We start from the raw sequence: 18,753 nt of genomic DNA on the forward strand, positions 1-18,753 counted from the left end.
TGAATATTCTGAAGGGAACGTCAGAACCTTTTTTATTTTTTTTTTTTTTGAGACAGTGTTTCACTCCTGTTGCCCAGGCTGGAGTACAATGGCACTATCTCGGCTCACTGCAACCTCCACCTCCCGGGCTCAAGCGATTCTCCTGCCTCAGCCTCCTGAGTAGCTGAGATTACAGGCACCCGCCACCACATCCGGTTAATCTTTGTATTTTTTGTACAGACTGGTTTCACCATGTTGCCAAGACTGGTTTCAAACTCCGGGGCTCAAGTGATCCACCTGCCTCAGCATCTAAAGTGCTGGGATTATAGGCGTGAGCCACCACACTTGGCTTCAGGGCATTTTTAAGAGCTGCAGAAGTTTCTGGTTTTTTATTGTGTATAACTTCATCCAAAAATGTGTAGCTTTTGGCTCCTTTGATAACAGACCATTAAATTAGAATAATGTTTGTAACTATGAGTTTTATTATCTGTTTTTGGTTTTAGTTAAAGCTTGGGAATGACTTGCACGTAGTTGTAACTGCAACAGGTGGTATGTTTTGTGAATGCTTACCTGTCATTACTTGAGTCACTGTTTGTGTCAAAAATGTAAAAGAGGAACGAGTTTCTGGGAGGTATTAGGAAGAGAGGGGCTCAGAAGGAAAGGAATTAAAGAGGACGTGTGATTGGAAAGATATCTGAGATAAGAGCAGCGAACGAGAGGAAAGAAGAAATTAGTGATGAATGATCAGAAGAAGACAGGGAAGACGACTTCCTCCTGCTAGCTACTAGGAAATGTTATCTTCCAAGACAGCTTGGTTCCTGTCTAGAGTAGCTCTGGGTGGGTAAATGGAGGGAGGGCCAGTTTGTAAATAACGCTGAAATTTAAGAGACTATATATTATCTAATTTGAGGCTTTGTCCCAAATTTGGTTTGGAGTGAGTTTTTATGACTAATCTACCAGTAGGGTGAAATAAATAGCATCATTCATATCAGGAGTACCAACCAACCCCATAAGAGATATTGAAGAGACAATGCCAACCTTCCATTCTGGAGTAAAGCTATAGTGCAAGAAAACAATTTGAACCAATTATTTTCATACTAAGTTGACAGTTAAGACAGAAAAAAATATATATATTAAGAGCCAAGAGATACTGCATATGGTCTGCAAGTCTTTTCTGGAGAAATGAATCATGAAGATAAAGAGAACTGGCTTATTTTTACAGTTACATTTTATATTTCTAGAAAAATAACTACAACATGGTCTTGATGTCTAAACATAGGGAAATGAGACTTTTATGAACGTTACACAACACAAAACATACCACTTGTTGCAGTTACAACTACGTGCAAGTCATTCTCAAGCCTTAACTAAAACCAAAAACAGATAATAAAACATATAGTTACAAACATTATTCTAATTGAACTATACTTTGAAAATGACTGAATGCTCAAATATTCTTAAAATACAATGTTCTCTTGCCAAGAAAAGAGTGTTGGTCTTAAAATGGCCACAAAACCTAGCCCCGTCCCATGTTACTAGAGCTACAGAATCAAGCACCCTCCAAATATATGGCCAAGCAGCCTTGGAGGCACCTAATGAGTCCAACGCAGTCTTCCCATGTGTCTCAGAGGCTGCTGTCTGTAGTGACAGAGGTGATAGAATATGGTAAAGTTGCGTATCTAGGAAAATCTCAATGTAGTCCCTGATTTCCCAGAGAATGTTCTTGTGGCTTATCCTCTGAGGTTAGTAGTTTCAGTTTAGTACATTAATTCCAAACACTAAAGAGATGAATCCATTCAAGTCATTTACAGAAAAATTGTTTTGAGATTTACCCAAAAAACAAACACACTATAAAGAATTTAGTAACAGAGAAGATTAGAACTTGCACTTTTGCTTCTGCTGGTTCAAGTTTTGTTCTGATATTCTCTGCATTTCCTATTTCCATATGAGAAAACCACCAGTACATCTTTGCTGTGTGAATACCAACACTGAGAAATATTGGCCAAACATAAAGATTTTTAGAGAATTAATTTTTGATATTCATCTAAACAAGCCAATATATTCTCACAATTTTTTAAAGAAAAAAAAAAGAACTCAGCTTAATCATATATTTGACTTCTAAAAAATCATCTCATGATTCCATGAAGATAGAGAAAAAATCAGATGAACAGGAATGGTTTTCATTTCACACTGGAATTATAAGAAAGGTTAATTTTTGCATAAAAATTACATCTACATAAAAATAATTTCTGGAACAATGCATTATTGACAGTTATGTGGGAAGATAAATGCATTCACGTAAATGTTCTTTCTCAAGCAAATTACTAAATATATTGACAGCACTGCACTTTGAAAACAACCATTTTAAGGCAACCAAATACATATACAAGAGTAAAAACATTACATATAATAGCCAATGTAATGTTTCACTCAATGCATATTCACTCAAATATGCATACTTTTTTTCAGTTTATTGATATATACTGCTATTAAATTAAATAGCAAACACTTATGCTTTGTTGTTGGCTATTGCCCACAGAAGGAAAAAAATGGGTAGTCAACTGGAGCCTATTCACACTTCTGTTAATTACTGGTGGTCCATGGAAGATGTTATAGTTTGATTACTAGCACTTGTAAATATTAACCAAGTCTAAGTTACTGCTATAAAATCCAAAATGTGTAAAAACCAAACACACCTATACAAATACAAATGTTTTACTCATGATCGTTAATGACTTTAATCAAGCAGATCTTCTAATTAATTTTGCTAATTGTTCATTCCTCTCAGGACATTTATTGGTTTGATGGATATTACTATGACATATGTTGATGCCAGCATCTGGTCAGAAATGAGGGCATCAATAAACTCTCCTTGGTGTTTCTACAGAATGTGCCAATGCTATAAACACTGTCAATGCCACAGCATTTATTTCAATATAAGATTTTGAGAACATGTCTGCCTTTCATTTAGAGAAAGGATAAACCTACTTCGAAACACACGGTGCTCAAATATGCTTATTCAATGAATGGTGCAATGAGAATGGCTTGATAACAAACTGGAAAACATCTGCCAACATTTAAAATAGAATAATAACATCATAAACGATTATTAGGAATGGCTTCCCCCACAATGTACTCTGTCAATTTATACCCTATTTCGAATATGTAGACTAACTTTAAACAAATATAGTACCGCTATCTTAAAGGAAGTGATCCCCTAAACATTTCTGACCAAAGGTAATCATATGCAGTAAATTAATAGACAAGAAATGCATCAGAATTCGATTCATGTATAGAAATTTGGCTAAACTTGCAAACTTTTATGTTGTTAGTAACTATTCAGAGATTATCACTTTAAACTGCTGACAAATAAGTGCACTTATGCAGTTTTATTTTTAAAAACTAGTTATCCCAAAATATCATATTAAATAATACACCATGCTGTATCTATATTTCAAAATTATTTTAATGGAGATTTGATCTCCAGGTAGAGGCAAAACACTGTTTTCTCCTTCTGGCCCCCATTAGGGAAACTGTAACAGTATGGTTGTCTCCCGTTTCTACACATGAATCTATTGTCACTCTACTGTCATGGCTTAAGAAAAAAATATTGCTTCTACTCAAGGTGCCAAACTGCACCAAGCAAAGTAACTCCAATGCAGTAACATTAAGTTTGGCAACTGCAGGACAAGGTTTCCATCCTTGAACAAGGAGCACTGATACTTCACTATTTTGCCCCCCAACATCATATTTCCCCCTGCATTCTGAAGGTTTTTTTAAAAAATATTTGTAACAATGTTTTTGTATGACACTGGCATCAAGTCTCCCAGGCAGCATGCATCTGTTTTAATTTCATTTGTATTCGTTACTCCTTTCTTCTCTATCTGAGTCCAAGAGAATCACTGCTAACACACCCAGCACTACTCAGGATAGACAACGACAGAATGAAACACTTCTGAGGAAGCCTTTCCGGTGGCATAATGCCAGCACTACTCATTATAGCCTATTTTATCACAGAGCCGTCAACATTACGGACTCGAATAACCCAGATACCAGCGGCATCCCCTTGCACGAGCTCATCTGCGGAGTACAAGGAATACAGATTTGGAAGAAACCTCTGAGAGGTTTTCTAATCTTTCCTCTCTTCCTTCTGACTTCTAACTTTAACGTGAGCCCACCCCAAAGAAGAGAACTAGACTCTCTTAGTAACTTGTGCAAACCTTCAGAAAAGTCTTAGGTTGTACCTAAATTCCTCATGTTGCCATTCCAACACTATTTCCTGTAGTTTTCCCTTTCCAGATGCAGGAGTCCACAGAGCAAGTATCCTTATAAGTGTCTAAGAATCATCAAGCAATTCCAAAGTTCCCGTGTCTCTAATCTACTGATCCAACGTGCCCGGCGCACATAAGCAGCACCGCGACTGAATTTCAAGTCTTCTCAAACTCACACCTCAGTTGCTCAGAGAGGAGAAATGCAGCGAGGACTCGCCTTCCTGGCCAGTCTCTGAAAACGCGAAACCTTCCTGAGCTGTCCATTTGTTTTAGGGGCTGTTTATAAACGGCTGGTTTTCTTGGAGGAAAAATAAACAAATAAATACGGGGCGATGGCAGCATCCTGATAAACACAGGACCTTGTTTGGCTTTTGGCAAGTTGTAACCTGGAGTAAAATCACATCCAAGTTACAAGCACGCAAATTGGAATTTCGCTGGAAACACTGACCCGACCTTCACCGAAGCAGCAAATCGCAGTCTCTGCTGCTCTGCTCCTGCTCTCCAAGGCTTAACATTGGAAAGTCCATGCCCACGTCCCCCTCTAATTAATCAATGTAGAAAGAAATACGAGGGAAGAGAGAGGGAGCACACTCCACACCAACCTTGCCAGCTTCTATTCTTCCTGCTATTCCTTAAAGGCGATGCACAGCGCACCTGGAAATTACGTGGACTTGGCATGGCTTTTTAATATTAAAGACAAACGACCTTTGGAAAATATACACTGTTAAAGTCAAACCATTTGGAGAGACACCCAGCAATTTACCTCCTCAAACTCCTCGGAACCCCAAGAATGAGGAAAGGAAATGGAAAATGCGCTTAACCCGGGGGTGGTGGGGGAATCGATAACCAGAACAGGTTTGAAAAAAAAAGCCCCCCTCCCGCCCCCTCCGTAGAGACCGCTAGCTGAGGCTGCAACACCTGCCCCGGCAAAGCGTCTCCGCAGCCTTCCCGGCTTGCCCGACTCGGCTTCCTCCGCCTCTGCCCCGGCTGCGGCACCACTTCTTGGAGCCACGTCTCGGCGAGCGGGGGCCGCGGAGCGAGGGGGCCGCTGTGCCGCTACTCACCCGAGCCGCTCGGGCTGGCCGCGAGCCGGGATCCGCGAGGGCTGGCGGGCTCTGGCCCCCGAGGACGCAGACATGTGGCTTGAACCTCCGCTCCCCTAGCCGTTGCCTCTGTGCATCTTTCTGGGCGCCCCCAGCGAATGCGAGCGGCGAGGCGAGGGCGAGCGCGCCGAGGAAGGGCGGGAGAGGCGCGGAGCTTGGCCGCGCCGCGCTGCGCCGAGCGCCGGGCTCTCCCCGCGAGCTCCCCGGGCCCGCGCGCGCGCCCCCCACTGCCCCCGCCCCCCGCGCGGCGCGTGCCCCCCACCCCCCGCCGCGCGCCCTCGCACCCGCCCGGCTCCACGCGGCGCGCGCCTGCCCTGGCGGCAGCGGCGGCGGCGGCGGCGCGTCCTCCCCCGAACGCCGTCTCCAGGGCTGCTGGCTGCGCTCTCCATTGTTCCGCGGCTGCTGCCCGGGGTGGGCGGCGAGGCGGGGGGGAGGTGTCGGCTTGGCCGCCGGGGAGGGCTTACCGCTCGGGCGGACCCTCACTGCGAGAGCGATGCGGGCCCAGGCGCGGCGCGCGGGGGCTGCAGGGCGCCTAGCACTGGGGGTTGCCGGCGCGCGGGGGCCTCCTCCTGGCTCCCAGGCACTCGCTGCTGCTGGGCGCCCCTCGCATCCTCGGTTACTATGGATATCTCGCTCCTCCGCCGCCCCCTCCGCGCACTCCGGGAGGCCGCCGGGGCGGTAGCAGCGGCGCGGCTCCGCGGGTGCCCAGGTGACCGGCTCGGCAGCGGCAGAGCAGTGGCAGCAGCCGCCACTGCCGCTGTTACTGCGGTCGCCGCCGCTGGAGAGAGGAGGACGAGGAGGGCAAGGGGCAGAAGCAGGTCCTGCTCTGTCTGCCCCAGAGGCCACCTCGGGTTTCTTCTCACTAACCAAGCGACTTCGTGTTTACCTCGCAGGAGACGCCTCGGCAGTCCTCAACTTGTGTGCGCCGGTGGCCCTCTCCTGTGGGACTTGCGTTCCAGCTGTTCTCAGAGCGGGTATGATCGGCCTCCAGTAGACTTGGAGGGTCACGGGTGAGATTTTGATAAGGTTCAAATACTCCTCACTCCTGCCTCCGGTTTCCACCAAAGTTACCATTGTACTACTACCAACAGTTGTGGAAATTTACTTTGGCAAAGGTTTTGTGTTTTTGTTTGTTTGTTTTTCCCCCCAAAAATTATGCCAATTAAATCCGACCTTAAATGACAAGGCTTTTCTCTCATGTTTAAAATCCCATTTTTTTCCCCTTGCCATAAATAAATAAAAATAACTTGTGGCTTACAGGCTGCTTAATACCACAACATTTTAATGAGCATGTCAGGTAACCCACAGGCTTCAGTTCTTTGTTGCTTACAAGTTCCATCCGTAAGTGTGAGTTGCTCACTTAGTCTGGGGTAACAACCGCAGATTCCCACAGAGAAGAATCAGTGTCTTAAAACAAGGTAATACCAACCCAATGGTCTATGAATAGGTTGGAATGGCGGTACTTTAAGTAAAAGTATAAAGAAATGGTTAACATTATGAGGAACTTCCAGCAGTACTAATAATCAACCCTGTTGTTCAGGAGACATTCACTTGCTAAACTTTAAGGCTAGGCATTTACTGCCTTGAAAGCAAAGCAAATGAAGATTTTGACCAACTGCAACATTCAGGCTCTAAAATAGAAATATGAATGAATTATTAAATAATAGGTAACATTTACTGAGCACTTACGATTTTCCAGGCATCTGTGCATTATCTCATTTAATTCTTACAACTCTATGAAGGTTTCATTATATTATCCTCACTTTACAGATTAAAAAAAAGGCTTAGATCTGCAACTGGTAGTTTTGGAAGAACATTCTTTTCCTTAAACAGGAAACTCTAAATGCCCTCTGTTTTGTCCACCTTTGTGCCACTGTCTGCTTCTGTGAGGGTCAGGATAATAGTATACCTGAAACCGCCCTTTTAGCAAGCGGCAGGGCCAGGACATAAGCTCAGACTAGATGTCTAATTCACTTGCTATACATGTAACATGTAAAATAAAAAAGACCTGCATCTTGACTGGTGTACTCTTTGATAAATGGGACCTGATTACTTGATGGAGGCATGTTTGACTATCTTTGTTTATGACATTAGCAAACTTTCAATGGGTTTGGAAGTGAGGCTATTTAGTTCTGTGTCTTACTCTGCAATCCAGACACCTGTGACTTGAGGTAAAGTAAGTGTTTTCTTGGTTTCCCAATCATGAGAGTGACCGAAGAATGACATTTTCCAGGTCATCATTCTCTTGTGGATATTGTTCTCTGATAACAATATTGGGCAATCTCAAAGAGCTGTCATTTCTTGGCAGTGAACTACAGGCTATTTGGAAAGGAGGTGTAAATCACTTTTTCATCATGTCCAGTCCTCTGCACTCTAGAGTCATTTGGGATGTTTTGTGTCTGCACTACCTCTAGAGAATGATGGAAATCTAATTCTCTGTCAGCTTTTCTACCTGGCTAGTGAAAATGCTTCTTGGGAGAGCTGGGAGGGGAAGTCGCTGTCCATGGTGGTCGTTACTGAAGCCCCATTCAGCAAAATCGGTTCATACTCTAAATACTGGAATCCTGCTTAATTAAACTAAGGAGCTTCTGCACAGCAAAATAATAAACAGAGTAAACAGACAACCTTCAGAATGGGAGAAAATATTTGCTAGCTATGCATCTGAAAAAGGACTAATATCCATAATCGATAAGGAACTCCAATCAACAAGAAAAAAAAAAGCATTAAAAACCGGGCAAAGGACATGAGCAGACATTTCTCAAACGAAGACATACAAGTGGCCAACAAACACATGAAAAATGCTCACCATTGCTAATCATCAGAGAAATGGAAATTAACAGCACAATGAGATAGTCTCACACCAGTCAGAATGACTATTATTAAAAAGTCAAAAAATAACAGATGTTGGTGAGGTTGCCGAGAAAAGGGAATGCTTATACACAATTGGTGGGAATGTAAATTAGCACAACCCCTGTGGAAAATAGTATAGGGATTTCTCAAAGAGCTATAAACAGAACTACCATTCGACCCAGCAATCCCAATACTGGGTATCTACTCAAAGGAAAATAAATTGTTATATCAAGAAGACACCTGCACTTGTATGTTTATTGCAGCACTATTCACAGTAGAAAAGATATGGAATCAACCTGTGTCTATCAGTGAATGCTTGGGTAAAGAAAATGTAAATATACACCATGGGATACTATGCAGCCATAAAAAAGAATGAAATCATGTCTTTTGCAGCAACACGGATGGAGCTTGAAGCCATTATCCTAAGTGAAATAAAACCAGAAAATCAGTACCACATGTTCTCATTTACAAGTGGGAACTAAACAATAGGTACAAATGGACATACAGAGGGAAACAGTAGACACTGGGAACTCCAAAAGCAGGGAGGATGGGAGGGGACTGAAACTGAAAAATTACCTATTAGGTATAATGTCCACTCTTTGGGGGATGAGTACACTAGAAACCCAACCTCACCGTTATACAACATATCCATGTAACAAACCTGCATCTATAAAAATAAAAATAAAAAATAAACAGCTGTTAATTTTGCAAAATAAGTAAATATTACAGTCTGGAAATTAACTTCATCATGGCACTAATGAAATTTGGTGATATTCTCCAGTACTGTATATTAAAACATAAAGATCTTATCAGTATAATCTACTGGTTGGAGTAAAAACATTAAATAATTCACAGGAGAATGACTTTTTACTCTATGGCACTAAAATAGCCCCTATTCATTGTCAAATTTTAGATATTTTTAGGTACCAGAACAGCATAAAGGGGATAAATCATTTCCTGAAACCCTCTCACCTTACAGCAAAGAAAATAGCTACCTATAGAGGTTAACCACCATAATTAGAAGCAGGCGTAAAACCATGAATTCTTGCCACAGAATCACTTATCATGATTCTGTGATGCACCAGGATATTGAATGTCAGAATCATTCTTTCTTCAGTAATTTCATTTTTTTGCTTAAAAACAATTTCCAATTTATGTCATTTGAAAAACAGATAATATATAGTCTGATGTAATATGTAGCTCATGTTCATTTATGTGGAGTGTATCTAAATCTTATAATATTCTAGCTGTATTAAGTAATATTGTTTCCTGCAAAGTGAGACAGTAGAAAAAACTCTTATGGTACCAATTTCTGACCACTGTAACCCAGTGAAAAGCAAAGCATTAATTTCATTACAGGTCATCAAGAATGCAACCGTCAACATAAACTGCTTATTTAAGAGCAGCCATTTTCTATCAGAAAGGACTAATATTAAAATTCCCCACTTTCCTATATTCTCCCTTTGTATTAAAAAATTATCCAGGGGACCATGTTGAATATTCCAGTCTCAAAAATCCAAAGATGGTGGTAATTTTTCTAAGAGATATGTAAGGCCCTTTGTAAGATTTAGAGGAATAGGATTTTAAGAGTTTATTCATTTGTTTAGTAGTAGTATAATGCAATAGTTAATCTCCTGACTTTGGAATAAGACCTGTGGATTCAAGTCATGGGTATTTAACTTAATTGTTTTGTGATCTTGAGTAAGTTACTTTTTTGAGCCATGCTGTTCTAATTTGTGATATGAATGTGATAATAATGTAAGCTACTTCACAAGAGTTGTGGTTGGAAATAAATTAGATTACCAATATGTAGTACTTTTCACTAAGTACCACACTACTTTTCACTAAGTACCACACATTGGTAATATCATTTGGCCAGGTTAAAGTTTCCATTTACTCAATCAAAGACTAATCTAGGTGTTTCTGTGAAGGTATTTTGTAGATGCAATTAAAGTCTATAGTCAGTTGACTTTAACTAAAGGAGATTATCTTAGATAATGTCATTCAACTAGTTGAAAGTCCTTAAGAGCGGCTTCCCTGAAGAAGAAATTCCACCTGTGGACGGCAGTTTCGGCTCATCCACAAGAGTTTTCACCTGCCCTTCCTAATGGCTTGCCTTAGCTCAGTCTTGTCCAGCCAGTCTCCACAATCATGTAAGCCAATTCCTTGCAATAAATCTTTTTGTATATGTCTCCTACTGGTTCTGCTTCTCTGACTGAACCCCAACTAACACACCATGTAAAGCATTAACTATAGTATCTGTGACATAATAAACACTCCAAAATATTAGTTAATTTTTTAAATTAACCCTTATTGAACATCTCTCACATTTATAGCACTGAGGTATACACTCTGATAAAAATGTCTGAGAGCTCTGAAATAGAATAGGGATAGATAGATACTTATTGTCTCCAATGATAGTAACCTCAACCAGGAAGGGATTTAATGTTTTAGTAAAATTTCCAGGAAAACAAGGGAAAAGTGCCAATGGGTTGATTATTCCATCTGGAGCTATGTAGGGGAATTATGCAAATTCAGTATGAGGCCAGTTTCCTGGGTTAGGAAGACAATGAACAAAAAGGCAGTTACTGTTTTCTCAACAGATCCATATAGATGTAGCACCTGAAACTAGACACACCAGTTTCCATGGATCAACCATGGAATTCCATTCTGTAAGAAAAATTTATTTACGACTTGGTCTTAAGCCAATTGGAATTATATACTTGATAACTGCCTTGAGATTCTTGGAGGAAGAAATACGCTCATATTTAAGAGTATTAAAGTAAAAGATCTTTCTTATTTCAATGTTAGCTTATCTTAGTATTCTACATTGTTAGATCTTTGAATTTGTTTTGTGCATTTTTAAGCAAGGAAAAAATACTTATATCACTAAAAAGCAGGCATAGCACAAACCTACTTAAATAGAATCTGCCTCCGTCCTTCAGAATTATAATGCCAAACTTACAAAACTTAAGGCTGGAAATATCTCAGATGAGTAAACAAACCTCAGGGAGGTAGTCTCAGATATAAATAGGATTAAAAGGTGATGAGAAAGTAAGAGAGAGTGAGAGCATGCCTTTTGGTTTTATATTAAAGCTCTGATAATTTAGAGTGAATCTTAGAAATAGAAATGTTTTAAATTGTGTGTTTGCAGGTGTGTATGTGTGTATTCACTAAAGACAGCTGTCCCATGATCCTTTATGCCATAATAGTAATTTTCTCAAAGGCAGTGCTATTGCTGTAAAAATACTTTTACTCATTATGCAAAGATTTATTGAATACCTGTGATGTCATATGTCGAGCTGGTTGCTAAGGGATAGGAAAGTAAATTAGAGATGGACTCTAATCTTGTGGAACTCTCTCTGGGCAACTCTAATTTATCCTTATGGATTTCAACTAACACGTGACTTTCTCTAGGAAATTTTTGTACTTCCCTTGCTCTGCACTGGCCTAGGCAGTTCTCTTTTGCTCTCACAGTAACTTTGCTTCCACTAATATTGCATTTATCATTTTTTTTAGTAATTAGTCAATTGCTTATAAATCTCCCTATAAGACTGCATGAGGTCAAGGACCTTGTTTATGTGAACCTCTATTTTTGCTCGGCTCTTGTCCTCAAATAGGCATTAGGTAAATATTTACAGAACGAGTGAAAGAAAGCTTGGGACATGTTGAATTTTAATTGCTTTCCAAATAGAAATATGCAGGAAGCAGAAAATATATAAACCTGGAGCTGAGGACAGAGATGGGTGCAAGGGATACAAATTTGTATTAGCTGATTCCTGGTAGTTGGAAGGCCTGGGTGGATTATCTTCAATGAGGCTCACATGTAGAATTATGAACGAGAAAGTCTGAGGTCAGGACTCTGGACAGCGTCCACACTCTCCATTTTATCTGTGGGATGAAACATGGCCCACATGGCTAGGATGGAAATGTTTTGGGAAACCCAAAGCCCAAATAAATCTTTTCAACCATGTGAGTAAGTTTCTAATAGATATTTCAGAACTAAGTTACTGTAGAGACAGGAGCACTATAAATATGGATTTATAATCATGACATTGTGGAACTTTACCTCCCAATATGTAGAGAGCAGGGTTTTCAATTTCGCAAAATAAATAAATGAATAAATGTTAGCATATGTTAATAGAGGGCACAAAATAGAAGTCAGAGAGAGAAAGAGTGTCTGTGGGGACTCAACAGACTCTGTGGGAATCAGACTCTCTGATTTTCTCTCTCAATGGAATCAAGGAGTCCCACGAGTTAGGCATTGGGAAAGGCTCTCTGGGTGGTGAACAGACATGTGTGGCTATTGGTGGTGAATGTCCACCACAGAAGCAGCGTGGCTCTTCCTTATACTCAAGGCTTTTTTTTGCCATTAATGAGAAGTAAGACACAGACTGACTCCCAGCACTTACCAATTTTATTATTCTTATTGCCTCCTCATACTTTGCCATGGGAAAATCCCTGTTTGGATCACAAATTTAAAACAATAGACTGCCTGTTAACCATGGGCATATTTACAGATCTGACTATGAGCTAATACAACCCAGAGTGAGCAGAAGGGACTTATACTTTTTCCTGAAGGCAAGCAGGCTTGGAATCCAAGGGGAATGAATATAAACACTGAGACCCATCTGCCCCAGTCTTCTGAATTAAAACCTAGGGACTTCTTTTGTTAACTCTGTTCAAGGCCCAAACCACATACAGCTCCATTGAGCCACAGCTAAGATTTTTGCTTGCAGCCTTTGCTTAGAACTGGCCCCTGAGAGTCAGTTTCATCTGTACAGCACAGTTGGTAAGTACCTCATCCTTCCCACACCTTTAAGCAACAGAACAGCCACAGTCAACACTTACAGCAACTTTCAAGGTTAGCAATGAAAGAAGAAGGCTGCAGTAACCTCATCTGGATGCCTGTTTTACTAAGTAATTATACATCCCAAATTTCACAGGACAACCTTCTTTAAATGAATCAGATCATAAAATCTGATTTTTCACTTAGGAAAATATGGTTAAATCATATTAGAGACTCATACTTGGAGTCTTCAAGGAGGTAGCATAATATACAGAAAAAAAGTCCATGGACTCCGACCGTGGTTCAAGTTCAGCTCTATCATATTTACTGGTTGTAGACCCTGAGCAACTTGCTTAACCTGACTGCACCTCAGTTTCTGCATCTGTAAAATGAGGATAAGTGTTCTTTAAAGATGTTGTTTAAGGATTAAATATAAGTACACTCATATAAAAATCTAGCACAATGCCTGGACCACAATAATTATTCAACCAGAGAATCAAGTTCACCCTAGTACAAATTCATAAGCATTCAGAATCAAGAAGTTATTCCAGCTTATCAACAGAACTAAATAATAAAGCTCATTCCCACAGCACCTTCTAGTGTGCTTATCAGCTGTGTAAGTGAGGAGGAGCCCATGAACTTGGGAGGGGACAGTAACTTTTTATATTGTAGACTCATAAAAATGATTTTATTTTTTTCTCTACAGGATTTTTAGAGGACAAAATAGTCTCTCATTTGATGGTGATTATGTACATTATTATGATAATTCTCTAGGAATGCACATTAAGGATTTTGAAATATATTAGAAGGACAAAGGAAGAAAGAATGACATAATAAATATTAAAACATAATTTGGGGTTGGGATAATTGAATCTTAGGATAAAATATGGCTGATGGCCATTGTTTTTTCCTGCTCAACACCCGGTGCTCTATTTCTGTTACCAATAGTCTGATTTGTTACTGGGGACCCAACTCTCCCACACTTAGCTATGAAATCCTAGATAATCAACCTTAAAAGAGCTGGCCATGGAGTGGACCCATGAGCCACTGGCCAAGCAGAAGATTCCATCATGCAGCCACAGTGGTTTGTTCAGAGACGGTCAGAACCAAGACTGTTGGAACTACTGGGAAAAAGGGGAACTCTTCTCACTGGGGCTTCTGATGATGAGCTTGGTATTACCAGGGTGCCAGGTGTAATGCCTGGAGCTGCCAAGGGCCATCTTGTGGAGAGGGTCTACCCAAGAGTGAAGCCAGCGCAGAGAAAAGCAGAGCAGAGATATGGATTGGAGTCCAGTGATAGTTTTTGAGGCTCTGGATCCAGTCATGCCTGAAACCTTTGGACTTTATCTCTTATATGAGCCAATAAATTTTTCATTTTACTTCAGCCACTTGGAGTTGGATTTTTGGCAGTTGTAACTGTAAAGTGTCCTGATTTCTTCAGCAGGGAACTTAAGTATAATTTATCTCAACCTCCCCTCTGATGTTTGAATCTTCTCTACAACTTCTAATGAAAGAGTCACTCAATCAAGGCTTGGACTCCTCCAGTGATAGGGAGCTCATTACCAACTGAAGAAGCCCATCCATCTTTGAGACTTATATTACTGCAAAATTTTTTCTTATATCAAGTGAAGGTTTCTGAAACCTTTGTAATTACCACTTATTTTGTACCCAGTAGAGGCCAGAGACCCTGTGCTATGTTATACTTAAAAATATACATTGTGATTTAATTCTCAAATTAAAAATTTGAAAATTTTATTTTTGAAATAATTTAATAAATTAAATTAATAAAAATTAATATCTAATGATATTAAAATTATTTTAGAAGCTGCTGCACAAATCCAAGTGAGAAATGATGAGAGGCTGAAGCAAGGGCTATGGGGGTGGGGATAAAGAAGATGAGGAGGGATCCAGTGATGTACAGATGTAGCATACAGGTGACTGAGTGGAGGGTGAGGGCAAGAGTGAAACAGGAGACTTGGAGGGCCTCCAGAAAATAGACAGGTGTTGAAAAGCAGGGAGAAACAACCTGGATGGGAAAGATGAAGGTTCTGCTGTTTATCCCAAGAGTTACCATAAGTCGAAGGGGTCACTACTTCCAAGGACACATGATAGCTCTACAAATTTCTTTAAAATTTTAACTGAATCTGGTTTAGTGTTAAGAAATAATCATGAACAGAATTGGATGTGCATCAAAAGCAAAGTTTTAGAAAGACCTGCAATTTTTGCACAGACCTTTAATCACATGAGTGCAAGTCAGAATAACACTTTTATGTTCAGCCCTTAAGACTGGTTTCTCCCTTCTCTCCTCCTGCCAGTGCCCCAGAAGGCAGAGGAGAGGATCCAGAGAACTCAGCACGAAGATGCAGCAGAGTTTGCCTGAGCCACAGGGGATGGGAGTCTGACCGTGAGGTCCAGGAACCAAAGAGAAGTGCATTCCAGTGGAATATGTTTCTAGGAATGGGAAAGAGGGAGAAAGGGAAGAAACATTTTATGTATACCTACTATGTGCCAGGTCCTTTTTATGTAGGATTATTATTATTATTTCAGTATCACTTTTTTTTTTTCCCAAATGTAAAAACTGTGGAGGTCTGCAAAGTTAAGTAATTTTCCAAGATCAAGCAGCATTAGAATTAAGTCCAGGATGTATGTATGCCTCTGAGATCTGTAATTTCTTCATTATGCTATGCTGTCTCCTTAAATAATTAGCAGTTATAAGACGCAAGTTATAAGGTGACAAAATACATTGACATGGTATCTGGATTAACAACAACCCAGAAGGCTAGTATTTCTAATATTGTTTCTATTTTATAGATGAGGAAACTGAGTCCCTAAGAGGTTCATTGACTAGCTCAAGGCCACACAGCTAGTAAGTAGAACCATAGCTGGAACTAAAAATTCCCATCTCCAAGATCTGTGTATTTTCCCATGACACTGCAGCTACTACGCTGGGCAAGCTACTATGAAGCTGGACTTTGTCAGAACAGTGACAGATAACAGCTTTGCTCTGAAACGTTCTTTCCTTCAAAGGAACGCACCCAACCTAATGCTTGTGGTGGCGCCTGCTTTCACCCACATTGGCTCACAAGAGAAAGACTCCAAGGAAAAAAGGAATGAGGGTCCCTAGAGTTTCTGATGAGGGTAGGGCGGAGGTGCTTTCAAGGATGGTTAACCCTCTCTCAGGGCTGGGCGCAAAGGCTCCTGCCTGTGATCCCAGCACTTTGCGGGGCCGAGGTGGGAGGACTGCTTGAGTTCAGGAGTTTGAGACCATCCTGGACAACATAGCGAGACCCCATATCTACAAAAAATTTTTAAAAATTAGCCTGGCATGGTGGTGCACACCTGTAGTCCCAGCTGTCCGGGAGGGTGAGGCAAGAGGATCACTTGCGCCCAGGAAGTTGAGGCTGTAGTGAGCCAAGATCGTACCATTGCACTCCAGCCTGGGTGACAAAGCAAGAACCTGTCTCAAAAAAAGAGAAGAAAAAGAAAAAAGACATGAGACGTAGGAGCCAGGCATTTTTCAGCCACAAATACCAAGTGGATAAAAAAAAATAATGAAAAGAATAGAAGAATGGTTAGCCCACTCTCTTTCTAGTGAACCCTGGGATAAGGTCTATGGTGCAGTGCTGTGAAAATTCACTCAATCCACGAGATCTATACACTTTGTTGGGACCTGGGATAGAATGAACCAGTGTTCCCTTAGAATGGAAATGACTGAGTAGAAATAATGTGGGAAGCCACATTAACTCTTTCAGGCCATTAGGCTATCATTTAGTAAATTACTACATTGTTCTAAATGGGTCCCTAGTGGGTATGGAGGGTGAGAATGTTCTAATTTGCTTTTCTCTCCTTTCTCTCAGCTGCTTTCTCCTACTATGATGTAGAACAAGAAGTGGTTTAATAACTGCTCTATTCCAAATCACTGAATGCTCTTATAACTACTGCATAAAAGTGCCCCTGCAGGTCTGCTATATTGAAATGTGTGGAATCAAATCTATGCATATGATATGAGGGGTGGGGGCTGCAATCTGGTACCCACAGGATCTAGAAGTAACTCGAGGAACCAGGATATCCCTGATTTTAAATTCTAGGTTAATGGAGGGCGTGTGACCGAGAGCCCCATGTTCCTGGGGAGGGAACAGATGCCACTGGAAGCTGCAGGGCAGGAGTTTCTCCACCTAAAAGGGAGGATCCACAACTCTGATCTGAGGAGGAGTCCGTGTCTCTGCCTTGGCATGTATATTACAAGAGAAAATCATAGGAAGGGCAAGGATGTTCCCTGACGACTGGCTTCCCTCTGTCACTCAGGATGCATGGCCACTGTTGGTTGAAGGAACTATCATTTTTCTCCCTGATTGAAAAACAAAAGAATCAAAGCTCTCCCTTGTGCTTACAAATCTGGGGATATTAATTAAATACCTAGTAGAGATGCTGGGGCCTAATATTATTGCATAATGGTGATTACAGCAACAATGCATTATATAGCATTAAATGTTTTTGAAGCACTTTCATATTCATTTGTTTTTTAAATAATTTTTGTTTTTATTTTTTTCCAGTTTCATTGAGGTAGAATTAACAAGCAAAACATGTACACCTGTATGTATTCAAGGTGTATGATATGTTGTTTTGACATACATACACACTGTGAAATGATTTCCACAATCAAGCTAATGAACATATCATCCCCTCACATAGTTACTCTGTGTGTGTGTGTGTGTGTGTGTGTGTGTGTGTGTGTGTGTGTATGTATGGTGAGAATACTTAAGATCTGCTCTCTTAGTGAATTTCAAGTATACAATACATTATTATTAACTATAGTTACCATGCTATATTATTAGGTCTCCTGAACTTATTCATAACTGCAAGTTTGTACCCTTTGTCCAACATCTCCCCTTTGCATATTCGTTGTTGGTCAGGGCTATCTTGATGGACATATGAAGATGGGCTCCATGCTTGGTTTAATTCTCTGCAGTCACAGTCTTGTAATTCCAAATAACTTTAACTTGGAATTAGTATTTTGTAAGCAAGGTCTGATGGGACTGTGGAGCATGTGCTGGGCTTGGAACCTCAGCTTGATGCCGTCCTGCCTTCCTGGGATGGGTTTTTGGCTGCCAGCTCCCTGTCTCATGCTGGTCCTGCTCAGGGCCCTGCCCACTCCACCCCCTTACCCCACAACCACTGCTGCAATCAGGTGGCACTGGCAGGGGGAGGAAAGAGACCAGCTTGGATTCAGTCCTTGACCACTCTCTTCCCCCAATGGTGGTGGTGGGGGAGTCTCGACATGGACGGTCATCCACCTCATGGCTTTTTGGGGTAGGCAAGGCAGCAGCCATCCTTGTCCCTAATTGCAACATCATGGCTTGTTTGGTGGGTGATATAGTTTGGCTATGTCCCCACCCAAATCTCATCTTGAATTGTAGCTCCCATAATTCCCACGTGCTGTGGGAGGGACCCAGTGGGAGATAATTGAACCAAACTGTTTACCCCATACTGTTCTTATGCTAGTGAATCAGTCTCACAAGATCTGATGATTTTATAAGGGGTTTCCACTTTTGCTTGGCTCTCATTCTTTCTCTTGCCTGCTGCCATGTAAGATGTGCCTTTGCTTCTCCTTTGCCTTCTGCCAGGATTGTGAGGCCTCCCCAGCCACATGGAACTGTGAGTCCATTAAACCTCTTTTTCTTTATAAATTACCCGGTCTCAGGTATGTCTTTATTAGCAGTGTGAGAACAGACTGATACAGGGGGCAATACAGTTGGTGACT

General features: G+C 41.0%; 1 protein-coding gene across 73 annotated transcripts in view, besides 1 other annotated feature; it reads right to left on the reverse strand.

Moving 5' to 3' along the window:
* ANKS1B (ankyrin repeat and sterile alpha motif domain containing 1B) overlaps positions 1-18,753 on the reverse strand; it is a 1,250,151-nt gene that overhangs the window by 154,530 nt on the left and 1,076,868 nt on the right. For 16 of the 73 annotated variants that reach the window (NM_001352216.2, NM_001352213.2, NM_001352214.2 and 13 more), the window contains exon 1: positions 5,315-5,459. The exons of 50 other annotated variants lie outside the window; for them this stretch is intronic. The gene's annotated coding sequence lies outside the window, so the exon portion shown is untranslated. Of the gene's footprint in view, positions 1-5,314; positions 5,460-5,817; positions 5,977-18,753 lie in introns of those variants that run through there. 7 more of the 73 variants (NM_001352211.2, NM_001352212.2, NM_001352210.2 and 4 more) reach the window with 1 other exon arrangement.
* Positions 5,254-5,753: an enhancer, noted in NCBI's record as "H3K4me1 hESC enhancer chr12:99288347-99288846 (GRCh37/hg19 assembly coordinates)". NCBI's record gives its function as "activates a minimal SCP1, AML or CMV promoter by ChIP-STARR-seq in primed H9 embryonic stem cells {active_cell/tissue: H9 hESC(primed)}" and the evidence as "EXISTENCE:reporter gene assay evidence [ECO:0000049][PMID:30033119]".

This window comes from Homo sapiens, chromosome 12 (genome assembly GCF_000001405.40).
Source record: "Homo sapiens chromosome 12, GRCh38.p14 Primary Assembly".
NCBI lineage: Eukaryota > Metazoa > Chordata > Mammalia > Primates > Hominidae > Homo > Homo sapiens.